General features: G+C 41.9%; 1 long non-coding RNA gene and 1 pseudogene across 1 annotated transcript in view, besides 1 other annotated feature; both read right to left on the minus strand.

Moving 5' to 3' along the window:
- LOC105378657 (uncharacterized) overlaps positions 1-23,170 on the minus strand; it is a 203,343-nt gene that overhangs the window by 67,795 nt on the left and 112,378 nt on the right. The window lies entirely within an intron of this gene.
- Positions 2,332-4,442: an enhancer, noted in NCBI's record as "VISTA enhancer hs1546". NCBI's record gives its function as "enhancer in: forebrain[4/5]" and the evidence as "EXISTENCE:transgenic organism evidence [ECO:0001131][PMID:17130149]".
- On the minus strand, positions 15,855-16,438 carry TUBB6P1 (tubulin beta 6 class V pseudogene 1; annotated as a pseudogene).

A 23,170-nucleotide genomic window follows, 5' to 3' on the forward strand; every position in this document is an offset into this window, starting at 1 on the left:
TTTTTATTTCAATATCTGTAACATCTGTGATTTCTCTTTTATCCTTAATAGCGTGTGTTCTCTCTCTCTCTCTCTCATCAGTCTTGCCAGGGGTTTTTCAATCTTTTCAAAGAACGAAATTTTGTTAATTCTCTCTCTTCTTTGCCTTTTTCTTTCATTTATTTCTGCTCTTGTCTTTACTATTTCCTTTCTTTTACTTAATTTTCTTTTCTTTTTCTAGCATATTAAGGCAGACACTTAGATAAGTTATTTTAAAATCTTTCTTCTTTTCCAACATGAACATTTAAATATACACACACATACACATATAAATTTCCCTCTCAACACTGCTTTGATTATATCCCACAGGTTTTTATATGTTGTATATTCATTATCATTCATTTCAAGATATTTTACATTTTCCTTTGTGATTTCTTCTTTGATGCATTGGTTATTTAGATGTGCATTCTTCAATTTCTAATTATTTGGAACATTTCCAGATATTTTTGTGTTAATTGATTTTTTAATTTAAATCCACTGTTGTCAGAGAACATACTCTGTAAGTTTCTAATCTTTTGAAATTTTCTGAAACTTATGGTTCAAAATATGGCCTGTCTTGGTGAGCATTCCGTATACACTTGAAAAGGATGTATATCTTGCAGGCATTGAGGTATAGTGTTCTATAAATGTGAATTAGGTAAAGTTGATCTATAGTGTTGTTCAAATTTTCTGTATCTTTACTGATTCTTTTTGCCTAGTTGTCCCATTAATTGCTGAGAGGGTGATGTTGAAATGGCCAACTATGATAGCCAATGTTTGTTTCATTTCTTTTAAGGATCCATTAATAGACACACACACATTTACAACAGTCATGTCTTTCTGATGAATTAAACCTTTTATCATTATGAAATAACTCTCTTTATCTCTCATAATATTTCTTATCTTGAAGTATAATATGTCTGATATTAATATAGGCACAGCAGCTTTCATATGTTCACTGTTTGCATAAGAAAAAGCATGGTATCTCTTTTCCCTTCAACATATCTGTGTCTTTACATGTTAAATGTATTTTCTGTGGACAGAAAATAGTTGACTCTTGCACGTTTATCCAATCTGACAATCACTGGACTTCAATGTGTTCAAAATTGTACAATGAGGGGCTTAGCCAGCTGAATGAAGAATTGCCTTCCAGCTCTGTCTTTATGACTCTGATCAAGGGCAGAAGACTCTTTGAGTCTCTGTGGCATCTTTCCCTTAGCAAAGGGACCTGCTTGTCACTTGGCGTGCCATGATTTGGAGCCAGGACCCAGGGTATAACCACGGGGAGTGAACTGAGGCAGGAGGCAGTGTGGTGTTGGTTGGTGCAAGTGTGTAAAGAGTATCAACCTTTGACTATCTTCTCCACATGTTTTATGGTCTTGCTTTCATAATGCTTCTTTTTTTTATCATAGTCATACTCCCTCAATTCTATCTTTGGCAATACTTTCCCTTAATCATTATTTTCTTGTGGTTGAAAAGGTGCTACTTTGAAGAACATACTCAAGGAAATTTCTCCTGTCATTTCTTCCTCCTTTGTCCTTCCAAAATGCGAGAGTTGCTTTGAACAACTTGCTAGAGGATTTCTTTCAAGGAAAGAGGGAAAACAAAGCAGAAGGAAAAAACTAGAGCACATGGAAGGCCCAGTGTGCTTCAGATCTGTGTTATGAAACCCTCACGCCACCTTAGGAGGTGGTGCTTTTATTGTCCTTGTTATACAGAGAAGGAAACAGAGCTTAATGGAAATAAGTAACTTGCCCAAGGTAGTTATTGCTACGTGTCTAGTATGCAGCATGTCTGCACTGTGTACTGTACCTACTACAGCGGGGATACCACTAGTTGCCTATTCCTCATCCACATCCCCACTTCTTCCTTCCTTTTTTTTTGAGAAGGAGTCTCACTCTGTTGCCCAGGCTGAAGTGCAGTGGCGCAATCTCAGTTCACTGCAACCTCCACCTCCCAGGTTGAAGCGATTCTCCTGCCTTAGCCCCTCGAGTAGCTGGGATTATAGGAGCCCACCACCACACCTGGCTATTTTTTGTATTTTTAGTAAAGACGGGGTTTCACCATGTTGGTCAGGCTGGTCTTGAACTCCTGACCTCAGATGATCCAGCCACCTCAGCCTCCCAAAGTGTTGGGATTACAGGCGTGAGCCAACACGTCCGACCTCCACTTCTTCCTTCCTAATAGAATTACTCCCCGACATGAGTCACAGGGAAGCAGACCCCATCCCAGCTCTATGGATGTAGCTTCTGATTAGTCTAACAATCCATGTGTGGCCTTCTCCTGGAATCAATTATTGCTCCAGGGGTGGACTGGCAAAATAATTGGCTCAGTCAGACTGAAGGGAAGGATTTGTAACTCACGTTAGTGGGAGACACTCACTCCCTCTTCTGCTAGATGTCAACCAGGAAGATTGTATTCCTTTCTTGCCAGGGGAGGGGAGAGCCTACTTTAGGATAAAGCCAGTGTTGGGTATGGCAGAGTGAAGAGAGAAAGTAGACCTATATCTTTGATGACATTAACCCATCAATTAATTGTACCACCCCTGCAGCCTGCACTAGCCCTAGTGTTCTCATAGGAAATAATAAATTTTTGGAGAGCTTAAGCCAGTTTAAATAGTATTTCATGTTTCTTGAAATCAAAGGCACCCCAATTGGAAAAGTCAGAGAGCAAGTCATCGATGGGCTCCGGATCTGAAGGCAGAAACTTGCAGATCCTGAGCCAATGCTCTTAACTGCTCAGCGCTGGGCTCCCTCCCTTCCAGTTAGAGTTTGTGACCTCTTTCTTACAGATGAGAAAGCTTAAGTTTAAATGGGAGAAGTGATTTGTCCAGGCTCACAGAGTTAGCAAGTGGCTTACCCTGGCTCAGAATTCATGTTTATCCGACTGCAAAGCCCACACTCTCTACAAGCCTCTGGTGGCTTCCCACACTTGAGGCTGCCACCGTTCCTGTACCTTTGACTCCAAACAGAGGCCTCTCCGTCACCAAATAATGTGATCAAATCAAACCTTCTTTCCATACAATTAGAAAACATAACAGGTTACAGCAAAAAATGCAAAAACCTCCAAAGCCGCTCAAAGCTAATTAATTTCTATTACTAGTGAGAGAAGAACCACTTAACATGTCTTTTCTTATTCAAATTACCATTGACGGCACCTGCTTTTTTATTCTTGGGAAATCCTGCTACAATGCGGGCAAATTATGTAAGACTGTAGAATTTATGAAGATAAGGCAATTAGCATTACAAAACCGAGTCCGGGTTACAATTTCTGGGGAACAGAAAGAGTTATGATGCTCCCTTAAATGGCCCAGTGAAGTCTCACAGATTGAGTTACTCCTGTGGTAGTCAGGAAAATTGAAGGCGAAACGGCGCCATGATGGTGGGTAATTAATTGTCTGGGCCCTTTGGTGATGGGGCTGTCTGTGCTGTGGAGGAGGCGGCCAGGGCTCTGCCTGTTCCCTTAAGAAGGAAAAGAAACCGAACAGGGTTTCTGGGTTTGGGAGGAAGAGAGGGGAAGAGAAAGTTCCTCCTGAAGTCCCTGGTCCTTTGGGTCAAGGAGGGTTCTGCTCTGGGGTCTGCCCTCTCAGACGGTTTTCAAAAATCTCCATCCTGCCCTGCAGCCCCAACTCTCAGCACAGCTGCCACTGAGCAGGTGCTTCCTTAGAGTGTTTAGATGTGCTGCTTAGATTTTGCATCTGAGCTAGGAGGACTTTTTTTTTTTTTTTTTTTTTTTTTGTGACAGGGTCTTGCTCCATTGCCAAGGCTGGAGTGCAGTGGTATGATCATAGCTCACTGCAGGCTTGACTTCCTGCTCAAGCAATCCTTCCACTTCAGCCTCCCAAATAGCTGGGACCACAGGCATGTGCCACCACACCCAGCTAAATTTTTTTCATTTTTGTAGAGACAGGATCTTCCTATGTTGCCCAGGCTGGTCTCAAACTCCTGGGCTCAAACCATCCTCCCACCTCAGCCTCCCAAAGTGCTGGGATTACAGGTGTGAGCTGCCACACCCTCTTTAGGAGGACTCTTACAGACACCTGGATTAACAGGGGTATTTGACTGAATAGCCACAGGTAGAGGGTGAGTAGGTGAGTGGTATGGGTCCCTAGAAATTGTGTGCAAAATTTAGGATGTGTGTATGTTCTTTTCTGTAAGAGATTCTGCAGCTTTTATTAAATTCTGAGCGAGTTTTAGGCTGCTTCTATCCCTGGCCTAGTTGGAACTCACATTATGTAGTTGGAAGGGCAGAGAGAGAGAGAGGGCTTTCCCACCACCCAGCTAGCTGCCTAGCATCTGCCTGTTGCTGGTTTCCCATGGACAGGCCCATCCAGTACCCACTGTTTCCGGGACCAGAACCAAGGCTGCAGCACCTGCCTTTGGTGTTCCTCACTTGAATGCCAACTGCTTACCATCCAGCTACCCACTATAGCCAGGTCAGCTTCTGGGCAGGTTCACTGTGGCTCATACAGTACCTCTGTGTGAATTAGAAGATGGCACACTTCCTCTGGGAGGATGCAACCCTGCACAGTGTCCTACTATTTGGCAAGCTTGGCAAGCAGCACTCCAGCTGTATTCCAGCCCCTGTTGGCCACCTTGACTTGTGCCCTTGTGTAGTGTACAACCAGCACAACCATACATACCTTGTTCTCAAATTCCTTACTCCAGGGGCCGAGTCACTGACTTACTGGTTATTTTTTTCTGGTAAGGACCTGACCAAGCTCTAGGTAGTCCTGGCCAGCAGAATAACTGATTTAGTGTGCAGGAGACCAGTTAGCTGGAATCATAAATTTCCTTATGGCAAAGCAGAAGCACCGAGTGTAACACTCACCTCTAGCTGACCTCAAAGCCGGACAAGGCCCATCTAGAAATGGCCAGGCAGGTGGAAGAGCAAGCGCAGAAGCCCTGAGATGAGAAACACACCAGTGTGTCTGAGGAACAGTGATCAGGCTAGAGCAGACCAGAGTAGCAGGAAAGCAGTGAACGAGGGGCAAATCAGTCAGCAGGAGAGTGGGAGCGAGGTTGTGTGGGGCTTTACTGGCCACTGCAAAGACTTTTTTGATTCTGAGTGAGATGGGAGTGGGAAGCTTTGGAGGATTCAGAGCAAAGAAGGGGTATAATCTGACCTGACTTTCTTAAAGAATACAATGGCTTCTCTATGGAGAGTCAGTGTCAGGAGCTAGTGTAGAAGCAGGGAGACAGGAGCTTGTGGATGAAAAAGCCAAACTCTGTAAAATATTTGGAGAGATTTATTCTGAGCCAAATCTGAGAACCATGACCGATGACACAGCCTCAAGAGGTCCTGAGAAGATGTGCCTAAGGTGGTTGGGTTACAGCTTGGTTTTACACACTTTAGGGAGTCATAAAATATCAATTAATATGTGTAAGATATATGTTGGTCCGGTCCAGAAAGATGGAGGGGAGGCTTACGGTCATAGGTGCATTCAAAGATTTTCTTATTGGCAATTGGGTGAAAGAGTTATTATCTAAAAATCTGGGATCAATAGAAAGGAGTGTCTGGGTAAAGATAAGGGGTTGTGGAAACCAAGGTTCTTATTATATAGATGAAGTCTCTCAGGTGGCCACCCTTAGAGACAACAGATGGCAAAGATTCCTATTTTGAAAGGTGCTAGACTCTCAGTTAATCCCTTCAGGATTGGCAGGGGAAAGATCTAGTTTTGCTAGTAGAGATTCTTTACAGATGCAAAATTTTCCCCACAAAAGATAGCTTTGCAGGGTCATTTCAAAATACAGCAAAGAAACCTATTTTGGGGTAAAATATTCTGATTTCTTTATCTGTCATGTGATGTTATGCCAGACTCAGGGTGGAAAGTAAGCCATGTTATGTAGAGTTAATAAAACCAATCTGATGAAATTTTATGGTTTGTAGGACGAGAGTCTCCAGGCCCTTTAGATATGAATTTGGGCAAGAGAGAAAGAAGATTGGAGTTTAGTCTTCAAGCTGTTAAAACTATCTGTGTAGATAAGAGGCCTAGTAACTTCAATCAAGATGGAAATTGTACAGACGGTGAGAAGTAACTGCATTCAGGATATACGTTTAAGATACAGCCAGCAGGGTTTAATGATACATTGGATGTAGGATATGAGAGAAGAAAGGAGCCAAGAATGCACCAGGGGTTTTGGCCTTGTAAAATGGAAGAGACTAGAGGGTGTGTCTAGATGTTACCTGAGAGCTTGGCAACACAGGCATACTCTGTCTCTGTTTTGCGGCTCTGATCGAAGACTAAAGTCTCTCCACCTATAATCTTCCCCTCCAGGATGGCACAAGGTGACCCAAATGGTCTACTCACCTTTGCCCCATACTTGCTGCTCTTTACTTTCTTCAAGAATGTCATCCTGACATTTTCTGCTAAACCGCTGCCTTGTAACTGAATGTCAGATGTCATCCACCCATCCATCCATCCATCCAGCCAACCATCCATCCACTCATGACTAAATGAGTCATTACTTTCAATGGCAAAACCACAATTACTTTTGCACCAACCTAATATTTACTGAGGACCTACCATGTGCAAGACACTGATCTTGGCATGAGGAATACAACAATGACCAAGACAGTCATGGGCACTGTGTCTCAGAGTTTAAGCTTCCTCTGGACACTTGTGCTAAGAAAGCACCCTATTTGCTTAGGGCCTACCATCTAACCTGCCTATGTACCTCGTTCCACACTATTTATTTGTATTTTGACCTTGCTAACCATTCAGGGAGACCTGGGAAATGGGCTTTATTTCTCCTGTTCTCTGTCATTTCTTCAGCAACCAGATGCTTAGTTACTGCAGTAACAGCAATTGGAAGCCCTCTGAGACATGCATCTTAGGCACAGAGGTTTTTTTCAACCACTATTCTCAAGCCACACATTCCATGGGTTTCTACAGAAGGCTTAGGAAGACATTTGAGGACACTAGTTCTTGGAACTCTTTCCACTTGTTTACCTGGTTATTTTGGGACCCCCAAGTAGCATGGCCAAGGCCAACGGGCTGAAAAGGGGCATTGGGACCTAGAACTTGACCCATCCCCAAGACAGGGGCCATGACTTATCCAGAAAGAGTTGGTGTAGGTTCTGAAAGGAAGTCCAATTGGGCAACAGATCATAGCAGAGGTGGGAGGGGCTACATTCGGGTAGGGAGAGGGTGTTACAACCCATTCAAGTTCTTCTTTCCCACTGCACAGAAAAAGCCAATACACTGAGACAGCAGGTGTTGCAGCAGACAGTTTAATAATCACAAAGTGGCTGAGCAAGGAGAACATGAGCTATTTCTCAAATTCCCCTCCTGAGAATTTGGAGACTAGGGCTTTTAAGGATTGTTTGGTGGGAAGGGGGCTAGGGAATAGGTTCTACTGATTGGCTGGGCTGGGGATGAAATCATAAGTGTACCAAAACTGTCTTTGTGCACTGAGTCAGTTCCTGGGTGGGGGTCACTGGTCTGGGTGGCATCAGTTGGTCCACTGGAATGCAAAGTCTGAAAAATATCTCAAAGACCCGTCTTAGGTTTCACAATGCTATTTATAGGGGCAGTTGAGGAAGTTACAAATCTTATGACCACTGGGTAGTGACTCCTGAGTAGTATGCAATTACAGACAGGCAAGTTAGAAAACAATGACTAGTTTTTATTTAACTATGCCTACATGTTAGCAAAATTCAGATCCCTATCATAATTCTAAGCTTGTGGCTTTTCATTAGTTTTATAAAGGTGATTTTGGCCCCTGAATAAAGAGGTAGTTATTTTTGGGAAGGAACTATTAGCATCCTTTCTTTAAATTTAAATTACAAACCAAATTCCTCCCATAGTTAGCCTGGTCTACCTGCAGAGATGAGCAAAGGCAAGTTAGCATGTAAGGTTAGAAGCAAGATGGAGTCAGCTGTATTAAATTTCTCTCACTGTTACAATTTTGCAAAGGTGGTTTCAAGGGCAGTGTTCAGGACCACCTGTATGGGAGGCTGAAGAATATCATCCTCCCCATCAGGACAAGATGTGATTGCCCAGGACCTCCAATGAGGCACACACAGCTTGGGAGATGCCCAAGGGCCGATGAGAACATGCACATTGGTCTTGGACTACTCATAGATTTGGGACCTCAAAAGCCCCTTGGAACCATTAACCCATCACTTTACATACTGAGGTTTTGAGCACAATTATCCCTCATTTTATAGATAACCCAGCTGGCATTTAGAGACAGAATCATCAGGGGCCCCAGAACTCGGGCAGAACTGCAAGGATTTCTTGGTCTTCTGTCACATCCCTAAAGCTGCTGTTTCTGCCAAAGGGAATCTTCTAGGCTACACTCTCTTGCCATGGGCACTAGATGGCTTTGGATCTACCAAACATGGAAAGTGAAAGCCTAAAAGCCATCCTCATGTACCAACCATGTGCCAGGCTCTGGGGTGATTACATAAGTACAGCATCACTTTTAATCCTGTAAAGCTGGTATCATTGTGATCAGCTCCCATTTCATACGGGAAATGGAGGTTAGAGAGGTGACATCACAGAGTTGCATTCACTCCCTCCCTGAATCCATACACGTGGATTAAAATCTTGGTCCTACCACTTATGAGGGAGCAAATTTGAGAAAGTTAGGAAAATTCTCTGATGCTCGATTTCCTCATTTGTGATATGGGCTAAGAATACATACTTCAGAGGGTTGTGGTGAAGATTAAAATGAGTTAGAATATGTAAAGTACTCAGCCTGGCAGATAGAAGGCATCAATCTATATTTATGCTCCTCCAATCCCCACAGATTCTGGGGCCTCCAAACCATGGGAAGTCCAGAGGAGAAAAGGCATTCTTACTCAAGGAGTCATTCACAACTGAAGGACAGGAGGCAGGCTCGTGGGAATGGAGTCAGTGGTGCATAAGGCTGCCAGATTTAGCAAGTTAAAATGTAGAATGCCCAGTGAAAGTTTAATTTAATTTAAATTTCAGATAAATGACATGTAACTTTTTTAGTCAAGTGTGTCCCATCTGGCACACCTGTATTTTATCTGGCAAAAAAATAAAAAAAGTGGGCTTCAGATCAGATTGGGACCTGTTGCTGGTCCCTCTGGGAGCCCAGCTGGTTGGCTTTCAGTTCCTAATGCAAGATGCTAGAGGAGCCAGCCAGCACAGTTGGGCCTGCAGGCACCACCCACTCAAGGTGCTCTGCTGGGCCCATGGGCTTCACAAAAGAATAACTGACTAGTAATTATCATCAGTTAGAAGCTCTGAGCACAAGCCTTTTCAGCACAGAAGTGGATCCTAGTTCTTAAAAGGATTTGCAGACTTGAACAAATGCCTTTCTTAATCAGTACAAATTGTTCCTTTAAATAGGTGGGAGCAATAGGTCCACTTCTTCTCCTTCCAGTTAGTGAGCAGAGTCAGCATCATTCCTGGGAGTCTGGACTCTCATTTGTGCTTCTGAGGTGTAGGTGATGGAGGTGGAGGTGGGGCTGGCATTGTGGGTGGCATGAGGGACTCCTGTAGTCCTGGCTGGCCAGGAGGCACAAGACTGGAGCCAGCCCACTTAAGTATAGGCCTAACCTTTCATAAACGGTATCTCAAAGGATGAGTCCTTAATCACTTTGGATTCAGTTTTCTCCCCTGTTACTGAGAATAATGATCAATTCTACCCTACTACGTAGGACTGTCCTAGCAATTGAATAGGAGAATGTGTGTTTTCAGGATTCCCTTGTGGAGAAACCCCAGCCCTCTCTATAATTCTGCCCACCCTGGGCCATTATCTTCATTTCCAGAACTGGAAACAGACCTGCATCCAAGCCAGCAAGAGATGGAAAACACACACACACACACACACACACACACACACACACACAACAAAAACCCAGTTGATTCTATATTGACATGCCTTCTCTCCTCCTGTTGTACCCACGTATCCATGGCCCAGCTGTTTGTCTCTTTAGGTCACCATCTCTGTTTAGGTGCAGAGGTAGATTTATCTGATGATGCAGTATTGGAGCTGTTCCGACTTTCTCCATTTTCCAGCCTTGTCACCGGGACCTCCCTCCACTCCTTCTGTCCAAGGCTGAGCTCTCCCGGGTGCACTCCCAGTGGCCCCTCACCCCTTTCTAGCCCCAGCCATGCCTCCTTTGTCTGTGTCCCTTTGTTCAGGCAAAAGTCAGAAGTGAAGAGAAGCTGAAATTTCTATGCCCTGAAGGGGACCCCTTCTAATCAGGCAAAGAAACTGGAATGCCCACAGCACTGACACATGCATTGTCAACTGGGCTGACCAGTGTTACTGATGGTGTGATTATCATAACCCTGATGAGACTCCTGGATGGCCCAGAGTGCACACTGGTTTGTGGGCTCTGCTCTGCAGAAAGGAGAAAGAGCGGGGAAGGTGGATGGGGGAAAGAGGGATTAGAATGAATACCCATCGGGATGGCATCTCTTACCCTCCAAAAAGAGAGGACATATGATGGAAGAATCAAACTAAAGTCATTTTAAATCTGATAAAGAGTATACAGGCAGGGCACGGTGGCTTACGCCTGTAATCCCAGCACTTTGGGAGGCCAAGGTGGGTGGATCATTTGAGGCCAGGAGTTCGAGACCAGCCTGGCCAACATGGTGAAACCCTGTCTCTACTAAAAATACCAAAATTAGCCGAGTGTGGCGGTGTGTGCCTGTAATTCCAGCTGCTTGGGAGGCTGAGGCATGAGAATCACTTGAACCTGGGAGGTGGAGGTTGCGGTGAGGCAAGATCATGCCTCTGCACTCCAGCCTGGGTGACAGTGAGACTCTGTCTCAAAAAAAAAAAAAAAAAAAAAAAAGAGTATATAGTAGTCCCCCTTACCTGTGGTTTCACTCTGTGATTTCAGTTACCCATGGTCAATCACAGTCTGAAAATAGGTGAATACAGTACAATAAGATATTTTGAGAGAGAAGAGAGATATACCTTTTATTATAGTATATTGCTATCATTGTTCTATTTTATTATTAGTTGTTGTTGTAATCTCTTACTGTGCCTGATTTATAAATTCGACTTTATCATAGGTATGTATGTATAGGAAAGCACATAGCATATCTAGGAGTCCAATTCAATCTGTGGTTTCAGGATCCACTGGGGGTCTTGGAATGTGCCCCCGTGGATAAGGGGGGGACTACTGTAAATTACAGAACATCCCAAGAAAATTTGTAAGTGAATATTTCATTCCAGTATAGAACAAGACCAGGGTAAAGCCTAAAATAATCACCTGCTTCCTCCCTCAACTCTTAGTGTTGCCTCGAGACTTATTCAGGGGTCTTAGAAGTTTGACCTCTCTGAACAGAGTGAAGCATTAGCAAAAGGAGCTTGTGAGGCTAACATTTCATCTGTGCAAAAAGCCCTCATGGTTACACACATTATTTTGTTTGAAACCCTCATAACTCTTGGGATGAACCAGGGCCAGAATTATGATGATTACTCCCGTTTTTCAGATTTGGAAACGCAGGCCAGGTTCCCTGAGATCATTTGGTTAGTGATTAGCAGAGTCGGAACCAGAACTGAGTGCCTGCTCCGCTACACCAAGACTGCTTGCCCAGGGTCTGTTAATATCTTCAGATTTTTCTTGATGCATGATTGTTGGCCTAATCTCAATTTCAACAATGATCTTTTACTGAAAAACAGGCTTCCCCAGAGGATAAGCAGGCCCATGGGGTCATTCAGAGGAAGATTCTGCTGACAATGATCAAGTGCCCACAAAGCGTCAGCACCAGGCGGAGTCTGTTCACAGATATTTAACACTCACCGCTACTCGGGAAAGTACTTATTATGCCCATTTACAGATGGGGTTGGAGATGTTGGGGAACCTTATGCAAAGTCATACAAAAGCAAAGAGGCAAAGCCAGGATTCAGGGCCAGTTTACATTTTCCCTCACACTCACCCAAGTTTCTCTGCACTCCAGAAAGAACGCTAGACGTTATCCTAAGAAATGTTTATTTACATATTTAAAAAAACAGACTTGGCACCTATAGTAAAATCTACAGCCTTTCCATGGCCCAGGCAGGACCCCCTGCCTATCTTTCGAAGTGCATCTTGTATCCCTCTTTCTTCATACAGGACACTCAGGTGTTACAAAATTTCTTCCCTCAAGAACTTGGCATTGCTGTATCCTCTCCCTGTGGGTTAGTCTATTCATGTTGCCATAAAGGAATACCTGATGCTGGGTAATTTTTTAAAGAAAAGCTGTTTATTTGGTTCATGGTTCTGCAGGCTGTATGAGAACCATGGCACCACCATCTACTTCTGGTGAGGGCCCAGGCTGCTTCCACTCATGGCAGTAGGTAAAGGGGAGCCAGTGTGTGCAGATCACGTGGCAAGAGAGGACACAAGACCGAGGAGGAGGTGCCAGGCTCTTTTCAACAACCCATCTCGCAAGAACTAATAGAGTGAGAACCCACTTGCTTCCCCACCTCCTGCCCCTGCAGGGAGGGCACCAAGCCATCCATGAGGGATTCACCTCCATGACCCAAGTACCTCCTATTGGGCCCTACCTCCAACATTAGGGATCAAATTTCAACATAGGGTTTGGTGGGACAAACATCTAAACGACAGCATCCTGGAACCCCCTTTCCTTGAAATATTTGCATGGATAGCTCCTTCTCATTCATTAGTTGTCAACTCACTTATTATCCTCTCAAAGGGGCTCCCCTCAACCCCATCTACATTGGTGCCCCCATCCCAAATCATCACCTAGTTTATTATCCAATCTTTTATTTTCTTATTGTCTTCTTATCATTATCTGAAATTATCTTACTAATTTTTTGTTTGTTCCCTGGGTGTTTCCCTTACTGGATTGCAAATTTCTTCTCTATCTTGATACCTGCTATATTTAAGGGCCTAGAGAAGTGCCTAACGCACACCAGGTGTGCTGAAAAGATTTGTTGGATAAAAACTGAATGGATGAGATTTTATGCCTTGGGACAATGTTACCCTGATCGCCATCTTGACCAGGGCTCTTCTTTAGCAATGACAGAATTTCTTTTTTCTTTCTTAATAAAGCTCATTAAAAGCAGTCTTACCTTCAAAGCAGGTGTTACTTTAAACAGGGTGGTTTAATTAAAGCAATGACGTGAAGGTGCAAAGCAGCCTCTACCTTGCTGCCTTACTCTGGTCTGGAAGGAGAGAGAGTCTGTAAATAGGTGTGTGACCCTCAGAAAGATCCATCCTGCTTTCTGCAATAATGTAAAAAGAAAACTTTCAAATACCACAATTTGCAAATGAAGACCTTTAAAATAATGGGACGGCAGCTCTGGAATGGGATTATTAGGATAATGCGATGTTTAAGTGGGCGCTTTTCCTCTCAAGGACCTGCCTGAATTCTGCTGAGCTCATTCCACGAGAGACCTCAGAGAGATCAGTTATGACTTTTATTAAAGTCAAACCAATACCTGTATTCGCAGCCGCCTGGAGGAAATTTCTTTCTGTAACTCTGATTGAAGTTTAATGGGAACTACACAAAGAAAATTTACTTAACCTCCTCACCCATCTCTTCCACGGTGGAAGTCTGTTCATCACGTGTTCTGCTCCCAGGAGACACTATCAAAGATAGCACTTCTCAATTTCATAATATTTTTCAGAGTAAAAGAGGGAAGACAGCTGCAGACCCCAACTACTCCAGAATGCCATGTAGTCGATGTCTGATTTCACTTACAGGAACAATGCACAGACATTTTTCTGAAGGGTGTGCACATTAGTATTTTGCAGATTACAAAATAAAAGCATATGAACTACTAAGAAATTATGTTACATGCATGTGAAAGTACATGAATACAAAGTGCTGGCTAATATGCTTCTGATTTGTTCATATTGCTGGTCAACCTTAGCTCCCAGCCATAGGGCAAGACAGACACCTGCTCTTACACAGAAAATAAAAACCGTGAGTGGCACCTTTTTTTCAGGGAGAACTAGACATTATATATTAACATCTGTCATGTGTAGCACTTTATAGATGGAAAGTATTAAACAGAACCCCACATTTTTCTATAAAATTTACACACACACAAAAAAACTGGATTAAAAACCTAGATGTATGATTTCTGTAAAATATAAAATAATGAGTATCTACGTAACCATTACCTAAGTTGAGGAATAGGACATCGCCAACACCCAAAGCCTTCTATGAACCCCTTCATGGTCACCATTGTTCCTTGCCTTCTGACTTTCATTGTAATTCCTTGTTTGCTTTATTTGACAGTTTTTTCACCTAAGATGCTTTCCTAGACAATATTGTTTAGTGTTTACAAAATCAAATGTCATAAAGAATGTACTCTTTTGAGTCTGGCTACTTTGCTCAACATTTTGTTTTTAAGAGTCACCCAGACCAGCCTGGCCAACATGGCAAAACCCCGTCTCTACTAAAAGTACAAAAATTAGCCAGGCTTGGTGGTGGGCGCCTGTAATCCCAGCTACTCAGGAGGCTGAGGCAGGAGAAGCTTGAACCCAGGAGGCGGAAGTTGCAGTGAGCCAAGATCGCGCCATTGCACTCTAGCCCGGGCGACAAGAGCAAGACTCCGTCTTAACAACAACAACAACAAAGTCACCCAAGGACTCTTAAAAGAGTGTGTTATTTGTACTATAGGGATCATTCAATTTGCCGTTTGATATTCAGTGGATACATACACCGTGGTTTATTTACGTAGTGTCTTGTTGATGGATATTTGCATTTGGGTTGTTTTCAGTTTGGGTCTACTACAAATGATCCTGCAGTAATATTCTTGTACCCATATTTTGGCATACATCTGCATGAGTTTCTCTAGTAGCAGTTGACTAAATCTGGCCCACCACTTGTATTTGTAAGTAAACTTTATTGGAATATAGTCATTCAAATTTGTTTACACATCATTGATGGCTGTTTTTGCACTATTTATGCAGAATTGAGTAGTTGCAATGGAAAAATCAGGACCTGCAAAGCCGACAATATTTACTAACTGGCCCTTTTCAGAAGTTTGCCATCTCCTGCTGTAGGGTTTATATTTATGAGGAAATTGTAGGGTTACAGGGTTTGCCTATGTTCAACCTTACTAGATACTACCAAGTTTATTTCAACAAACTTCTTTTTACATTTTTTAGCATTTTATTATGAAAAGATTGTTTCAATGTTCAGTATGGCATATTCAAGACATGTTATTACTATACAACTTTAGAAATTCATCAAAAAGGATGAAAAACTACTAATTATTCTAACTACCCTTCATTTCAGACTGTGGCTGAACATTTAGTGGAAAACAAGGCTTATGGCACATCAGTTTTCTCAACTGTAGTAGAAAATTCTCATTGTCTGATCTGTTTGGTGGGATTGCCAATCCCTTGCTATTTTAACGTACTTTCTGTATCCCAGATGGCTTCTATTACAATTTTATCCTATCTGTGAGAGTCCTATATAACGTGTTTAGACCTGTGTGAGCCATTATACCCAGCAGCCATTAAGTGGGAAGATGTGCAAGTCTTCAGTCATAAAGGGTTAAAAAGACATTTTGCGGGTGGGGCATGGTGGCTCACACCTGTAATCCCAGCACTTTGGGAGGCCAAGGTGGGCAGATCACCTGAGGTCAGGAGTTCGAGACTAGCCTGACCAACATGGTGAAACCCCATCTCTACTAAAAATACAAAATTAGCCGGGTGTGGCGGCAGGCACCTGTAATCCCAGCTACTCGGGAGGCTGAGACAGGAGAATTGCTTGAATCCGGGAGGTGGAGGTTGCAGTGAGCCAAGATCGTGCCATTGCACTGAAGCCTGGGCAAAAAGAGCAAAACTCTGTCTCAAAAAACAAAACAAAACAAAACAAAACAAAAAAAACATTATGGGTTTTTAGGATGTGAAGCAGAGAGGCTTCGTTGTCTCTTGATCTTTTCCTTACCATCTTCTAAAGTTTCTCCTCCATCGTTAATTGTAGCTTCTTCACATTGCTAGGATTCTAACACCAGGTCACTCATGCTACTTTCAGCTTCTGTGAATTTTACCTCCCCATCCCCTTTCCTGTAAACCAGTGAAGGAAGGCCTTCCGGCAACGATGGCAGAAAACTGTTCTCAGATGCATTTAAAACACCTATGCATAATAGTGCTCTTGTCAATAAGCATGAATACCACCTTGAGCCCCAGGAAGAGGCGCCTCACATAATCACCTGGAGTCATGGAGGAGGGGCACCCCACGTGGCCACCTTGATACTGTTGGGTAACCACTCCACAAAGTACTCTGCTCTGTTCTAAGTGGTCAGCATCTGCTCTTCCACCTTTTTTTTTTTTTTTTTTTTTGTGGACATGGGACCCTGGAAGGCCCTGAGCATAGTGAGGGAGGGCCCGTGTCTTGGCTCATGGGCTGCAAACTTATGCTTAGCATGGAACATTTGCCGAATGTGTTCTGGCTCTGTGAGGGCACTGTATCGCCAATTGCCTCTGGCTCTCAAGGAGGCAAAGTTGGCATGAAGAGTTTGTTTTCTTTCTCATTATAAGAAATTGCGAGGTATATAGTCCTGGGTTTGTATGGCAGTTTGACTATCATCAGGGATTCAGACCACCTTCCATCTTTCTCCTCTGCCATCCTTAGCCAAGGAATCCATCCTTAAATTGGAGCTTTAGCCATCAACTCTGCCCTCCAGGTGGCAGTTAGAAGGAGGGTAGAGAGGGCCCAAAAGTGTATTCAGCTTCCTTCCCCCTCTTTAAGAGACTTCCAGGAAGTTCTACCCAACAACTTCCATTTACTTCTCTTTGGCCAGAACTTAGGCTGTGGCTCTTCCTAGCTATAAAGGGAGGTGGGAGATACAGTCTTTTTGTTATGTATATTATCACATTGCGTAAAACCAAGAAGGGAAGAATGGGTATTGGATAGGAAAATAAAAGTCTCTACTACAAGGAAGAATGTCCTGGCACCCAAGGCAAGAGAGCAGCTGGGTCTACAACTAGGGTCAGTGACGTTAGCAAAGGAGGCAGCTTCTCTCTCCTCATCTCTTTATGGGGGACACATAGTCTCTTGCTTTGTACTCCTCTCTTACAAGCCTGCTTTTTCTGCAGCCTGTGGTTTCTGCTCCCTATAACTTCATCCTGAGTGGGATGTTGCACATAGAACCTACTCCATCCTTGACTGTACATTTCAACTCAAATTCCTATCATTGCCCAGAGGTGCTGATTCTAAATTCTGGAGTCAGGCAGTTTGATTGGTCCATGGCTGGCCTTTGAATAAGTGTCCAGATCTGGTCTAGACACATGTCGGGGAAAGGGAAAGCCAAGAACAAGCAGAATATGGAGTGGACCCTTCGAGGTTGGACAGGCTGCAGGCAAAGCAAGTAATTATATGTTCAAGTCATATGCCTTTTTGTGGCAATGATTATTAAAGGTTTTATAGTATTCTATCTCAAACTTTGACATGGTGGGAGAAAAACAATTATTTTAAGGTTGCCAGCTGAAAGTTTACCTGCAGGTGGTTCTGGATTTTAAAATTGATGAAGCTGAGAAACTTCCATTTAGAGAATAATAGAAAGTTTCTGCTTCTACGGGGAAATAGGAATTTGGGGTGGGGAGAAGACCTTTCATTTTCTGAGAAGGTCCATTAAGAGAGGCCTTTCAGTCTATGCACTGAACAACAACACTATATTGCAGATGTCAGGTCAGTATGTACACCTCACTGTTCACGGATTAACACTGAACCAGTGACATCGTTCAAATATACACTGAGATGCTGAGTGTTTTGAACAGTACTGTAGATCAGCTGTATCATGAGCAAGTTCAGGCCCTTTTAGATTGCTTTTCTAAACATAGATTTAAAAAGGATAATTTATCAAAGTCTTCATTCATTTCTTAGGAGACGTCTCTGTATTTTTTTTCAAGTATATGCTCTTGAGATCATGAGCCCATATTAAACAGAAAGGAATGTACATGCCTGATCTTCTTTTCATCTCACATTGGAAGTGAAAGACTATGAAAAGGAACTGGAGGAGATTTGATACAGTCTTTGGGAAATATACTGTTGACCATGTGACGGCCAGCCAGGTCATAGGGCCCAGACTCAACCTAGGAATGAAGGTGGGATATCTGTCTACTTTGTAGGAGATAGAGGGTCTTACTGTCAATCTCTTGGGAAGGAAATGAGGTAGGCCTCAGATTGGGAGAAAGGAGAATCTCAGTCTTTCCAGGGCCTGTAGTTTATAGAGAAGGACATGGTCAAAGGAACTTCCCATCTGTGGAGGTAAGCTGGCCCAGAAACATGCTAGTAATTCTAGAGTTAGAAAGCAAAATGGCCAGGGATGACTTCTATGGAAGGCATGATTTGTTGGACCGTAGGTATATCTGATATTCAGTTTTAACTTTTTCTTTTCTTTTGCTAGCCTCAGACTTGCACATCTGCACGTATTTCTACCCACTTCCCCTGCCCCCCAGCACTCTTACTGTGCTGAGTATTCTTTGGGAGAATTAATGGAAGGTTCTGTGTCCAGGCTTAGGGCAAAGCAGTAAAGAACAACTAGGAGCAGCCTGAAGAAGTAGCTTTAGAATAGCAAAAGATGACCTGAGAGAAGCCCCTAGTAAGAGGTGACAATCAATGACTATTATCATTTAAATATCTTTAATATAATTGCCTGTTCAAAACAAAAATAATAATAATGCATTGTGAGGTGTGATGTAGAAATCAGATGTATGACAAGAGTAGCACAATAGCTGGCAGAGAAGAAATGGAATTATATTTTTAAGGTTCATATATTACATATGTAGTATACTTTTTAAAGGTAGAATGTAGTAAGTTAAAAATGTATACTGTAAACTCTAAAGCAATTAGTAATACTACATAACAAAGAGTTATAGTTAACTAAGCCAACAAAGAAGAAAAATGAAATAATAAAAACAAACTCAATTAATTCAAAAGAAGGCAGACAAAAAAGAAAAAGAGAAAAAAGACTATCTGGGATAAACAGAAAACAAAATAGATAGCAGACTTAAACCCAGTGTATTAGTCTGTTTTTTCATGCTGCTGATAAAGACATACCCGAGACTGGGCAATTTACAAAGGAAAGAGGTATAATGGAGAACTCACAGTTCCATGTGGCTGGGGAAGCCTCACAATCGTGGCAGAAGGCAAGGAGGAACAAGCCACATGTTACGTGGATGGTGGCAGGCAAAGAGAGCTTGTGCAGGGCAACTCCTGTTTTTAAAACCACCAGATCTCATGAGACCCATTCACTATCATGAGAACAGCACGAGAAAGACCCATCCCCATAATTCAGTCATCTCCCACCAGGTCCCTCCCACAACATGTGGGAATTCTGGGAGCTACAAGATGAGATTTGGGTGGGGACACAGAGCTAAACTATATCACCCAGTACTGTAAATAAAAACACTAAGTGGTCTAAACATCCCAATTAAAAGGCAGAGATTAACTGATTCGATTAAAAAAAAACAAGACTCAGCTATATGATATCTATAAGAACCCCACTTTAGATATAAAGACACAAATAGGTTAAACATAAAAGGCTAGAAAAACACACATCATGCTAACCCAAATAAAAAAAAAGTTAGAAAGTCTACGTTGAAATCAAAGTAGATTTCAGAGCAGAAAAAATTATCAGGAATAAAGAGCATTATTTCATAATGCTAAAAAGTGCAATTTTTCAATAATATGCAATAATTGTAAATGTTTATGCACCTAAGAGAAGAACAACAAAACACACAAAGTAAAAGCTAGTAGAACTTCAAGGAGAAATAGACAAATCCACAATAATCAAAGATTTCAATAATCCACTCTCAAAAATGTTTAGACATTTTTGAGACAGACAGGAACACAATAAGGATATAGAAGATTTAAACAGCACTATCAACCAACTTACTGACATATATAGAACATTCCACCCAATAACAGAAAAATATACATTGTTTTTAAGTCTACAGGGAACATTCACCATGATAGGCCATATTATGGACCAGAAAACAAGTCTCATACAGTTAAAAGGAGTCATCAAATTATGTTCTCATTTCACAATTAAGTTAAATATCAGTAAGTTGTTAAGAAATAAGTAACAGATATATGAAAAGTCCCCAAATATTTGTAAGTTACACTCATGCTTTTAAATAACCCATAGCTTAAAGAAGCAACAAAAAAGAAAATTAGGAAGAATTTGGCCTGAATATAAACAAAAATGTACCATATCAAAATTGTGAGATTCAACTAAAGCAGTACATACAGAGAAATTCTTAACATTAAAATTCTATATTAAAAGAAAAAAAAGGTCTCAATCAATGGCCTCAGCTTCCGCTTTAAAAAACTAGAAAACAAAGAGCAAATGAAAGCCAAAATAAGCAGAAGAAGAGAGATAATAAAAATCAGCATTGAAATCAATGAAATAGAAAATGAAAACAACTAAGAAAATCAATTAAACCAAGAGCTGGTTTTGAGACAATCATAAAATTGACAAATCTCTAGCAAGAGACAGATCAAGAAAAAAAAGAGAAGATACGACTTTATTATTTATTAGAAAAATGCAAATTTAAGCCACAATGAAAAACCTCTACACATCTATTGGAAAGTCTAAAATTAAAAAGACTAACCATGCCAAGTATTGGCAAAGACTTGGAACAACTGAAACCTTTATACACTGCTGATGGGGATGCAAAATGTAGAACTACTTTGAAAAGAGCCAACAGTTTCTGAAAAGGTTAAATATCCACCTACCATATAACCTAGCCTCTGCTTGTAGTCACTGAGGGAAAATAAAAGCATATGTTCATACAAAAACCTGTGCATAAATGTTCACAGTAACTTTATCATAGTCAAAAACTGGAAACATTTCAAATGTCTATCAAGAGATGACTGAATAAACAGATTTTTGTATATTCATAGAGAAGAATACAACTCAGCAATAAAAAGGATACAAGAATATAAACAAATCTCACAATAATTATGTTAAGTAGAAGAATCCAAACAACAACAAAAAGAGAACATGTGATATTATTTCATTTATATAAAATTCTTAAAATGAAAACTAAATTATAGTGGCAGAAAGCAGATCAGTGGTTGCCTAGTGTGTCAGGCCATTCTTGTGTCACTATAAAGATATACATGAGACTGGGTAATTTATAAAGAAAAGGGGTTTAATTTGCTTATGGTTCTGAGGCTGTACAAGCATGGCACCAACACTGGCTCAGCTTCTGGTGAGGACCTCAGGAACTTACAATCATGGTAGAAGGCAAAGCAGAAGTAAGTGCCTTGCATGATGAGATCATGTGCAAGAGAGAGAGCAGGGAGGTGCCACACACTTTTAAACAACCAGATCTCACAAGAACTCACTCACTATCATGAGGACAGTGTGTCTGCTCCCATGACCCAAGCACCTCCCACCAGGTCCTACCTCCAACATTGGGAATTATGTTTCAACATGAGATATGAAGGTAACAAACATCCAAACTATATCATTCTATTCATGGCCCCTCAAATCTCATGTCCTTCTCACATTGCAAAATACAATTAAGAGGTGACTGAATAAACAAATGTTTGTATATTTATAAAATAGAATACAACTCAACAATAAAAAGGATACAAGAATATAAATGAATCTCACAATAATTATGTTGAGTGAAATAATGCAAACAACAACAAAAAGGGCACACATGATATGATTTCATATGTACTGCCAATAGTAACAATAGTATCCAAAAGTCTTAACTGGTCTCAACATTAAGTCAAAAGTCCTAAGTCTTATCTGAGACTCATCTCCTTCCACCTATGATCCTGTAAAATCAAAACAAGTTGTTTACTCCCAAGATACAATGGTAGTACAGGCATCGTAGTACTATTTTGAAACACTACCATTCCAAAAGAGAGAAATTGGCCAAAAGAAAGGAACACTAGGCCCCATGGAAATCTGAATTCCAGCAGGGCAGTCATTAAATTTCAAAGCTCCAAAATAAACCTCTTTGACTTTATTTCCTGCATCCAGGACACATTGGTGCAAGAGGTGAGCCCCAAGGCCTTGGGCAGTGCTGCCTTTGTGGCTTTGCAGGTTTTGTAGCCCCCAGGGATGCTCTCACAGGTTGGAGTTGGAGTTGAATGCTTGTGGCTTTTCCTGGTGCAGGGTAGAAGCTTCTGGTGGATCTACCATTCTGGGGTCTGGAGGGCAGTGGCCCCCTTCCCACAGCTCCACTAGGTAGTGCCCCAGTGGGAACTCTGTGTGGGGTTTCCAACTCCACATTTCCCTCTGTACTGCCCCAGTAGAGGTGCTCTGTGAGAGCTTTCTTTTAGTCATGCAAATGTCTCTAGCAAGTGATTGTTCTACAGCCTGCTTTGATTCTTCCCCTGAAAATGATCTTTTCTTTTCTAACACATGGTTAGGCTGCAAATTTTCTAAACTTTTACTCTGATTCCCTTTTAAATATAAGTTCCAACTTTAAGTCATTTCTTTGCTTCTGTATCTGAATGTAGGCTGTTAAAAGCAGCCAGGCCAAATCTTGAATGATTTGCTGCTTAGAAATTTCTTCTGCCAGATACCCTAAGTCATCACTCTTAAGCTCAAACTTCCACAGATCCCTAGTGCATAAACACAGTGCAGCCAAGAACTTTGCTAGGGCATAACACAAATGACCTTCACTCAGTTCCCAATAACTTCCTTGTTTCCATTTGAGGACTCTCAGCCTGGCCTTCTCTGTCCATATTTTTATCAGCACTTTGGTCACAACCATTTATCTAGTAAGAAGTTTCAAAACTTCCCTCATCTTCCTGTTTTCTTCTGAGCCATCCAAACTCTTCCAACCTCTACCTGTTACCCAGTACCAAAGCCACTTCCACATTTTCAGGTATCATTATAGCAACATCCCACTTCTCATTGCCAATTTTCTGTATTAACCTGTTCTTGCATCTCTATAGAGGAATACCTGAGGCTGGGTAATTGATAAAGAAAAGAGGTTTAACTGGCTCACAGTTCTCCAGGCTGTACAAGTGAGGCACCAATATCTGCTTGGCCTCTGGCAAGGGTCTCAGGAAGCTTACAATCATGGTGGAAGGCAAAGTAGGAGCAGGCACTTTACATGGTGAGAGCAGGAGAAAGATGTAGGGGAGGTGCCACACACTTTTAAACAACCATGAGAACAGCACTAAGCCATTCATGATCCAAATACCTCTCACCAGGCCCCACCTCCATCACTGAGGATTACATTTCAACATTAGACTTGGAGGGGCCAAACATCT

This window comes from Homo sapiens, chromosome 1 (assembly GCF_000001405.40).
Source record: "Homo sapiens chromosome 1, GRCh38.p14 Primary Assembly".
Lineage (NCBI taxonomy): Eukaryota > Metazoa > Chordata > Mammalia > Primates > Hominidae > Homo > Homo sapiens.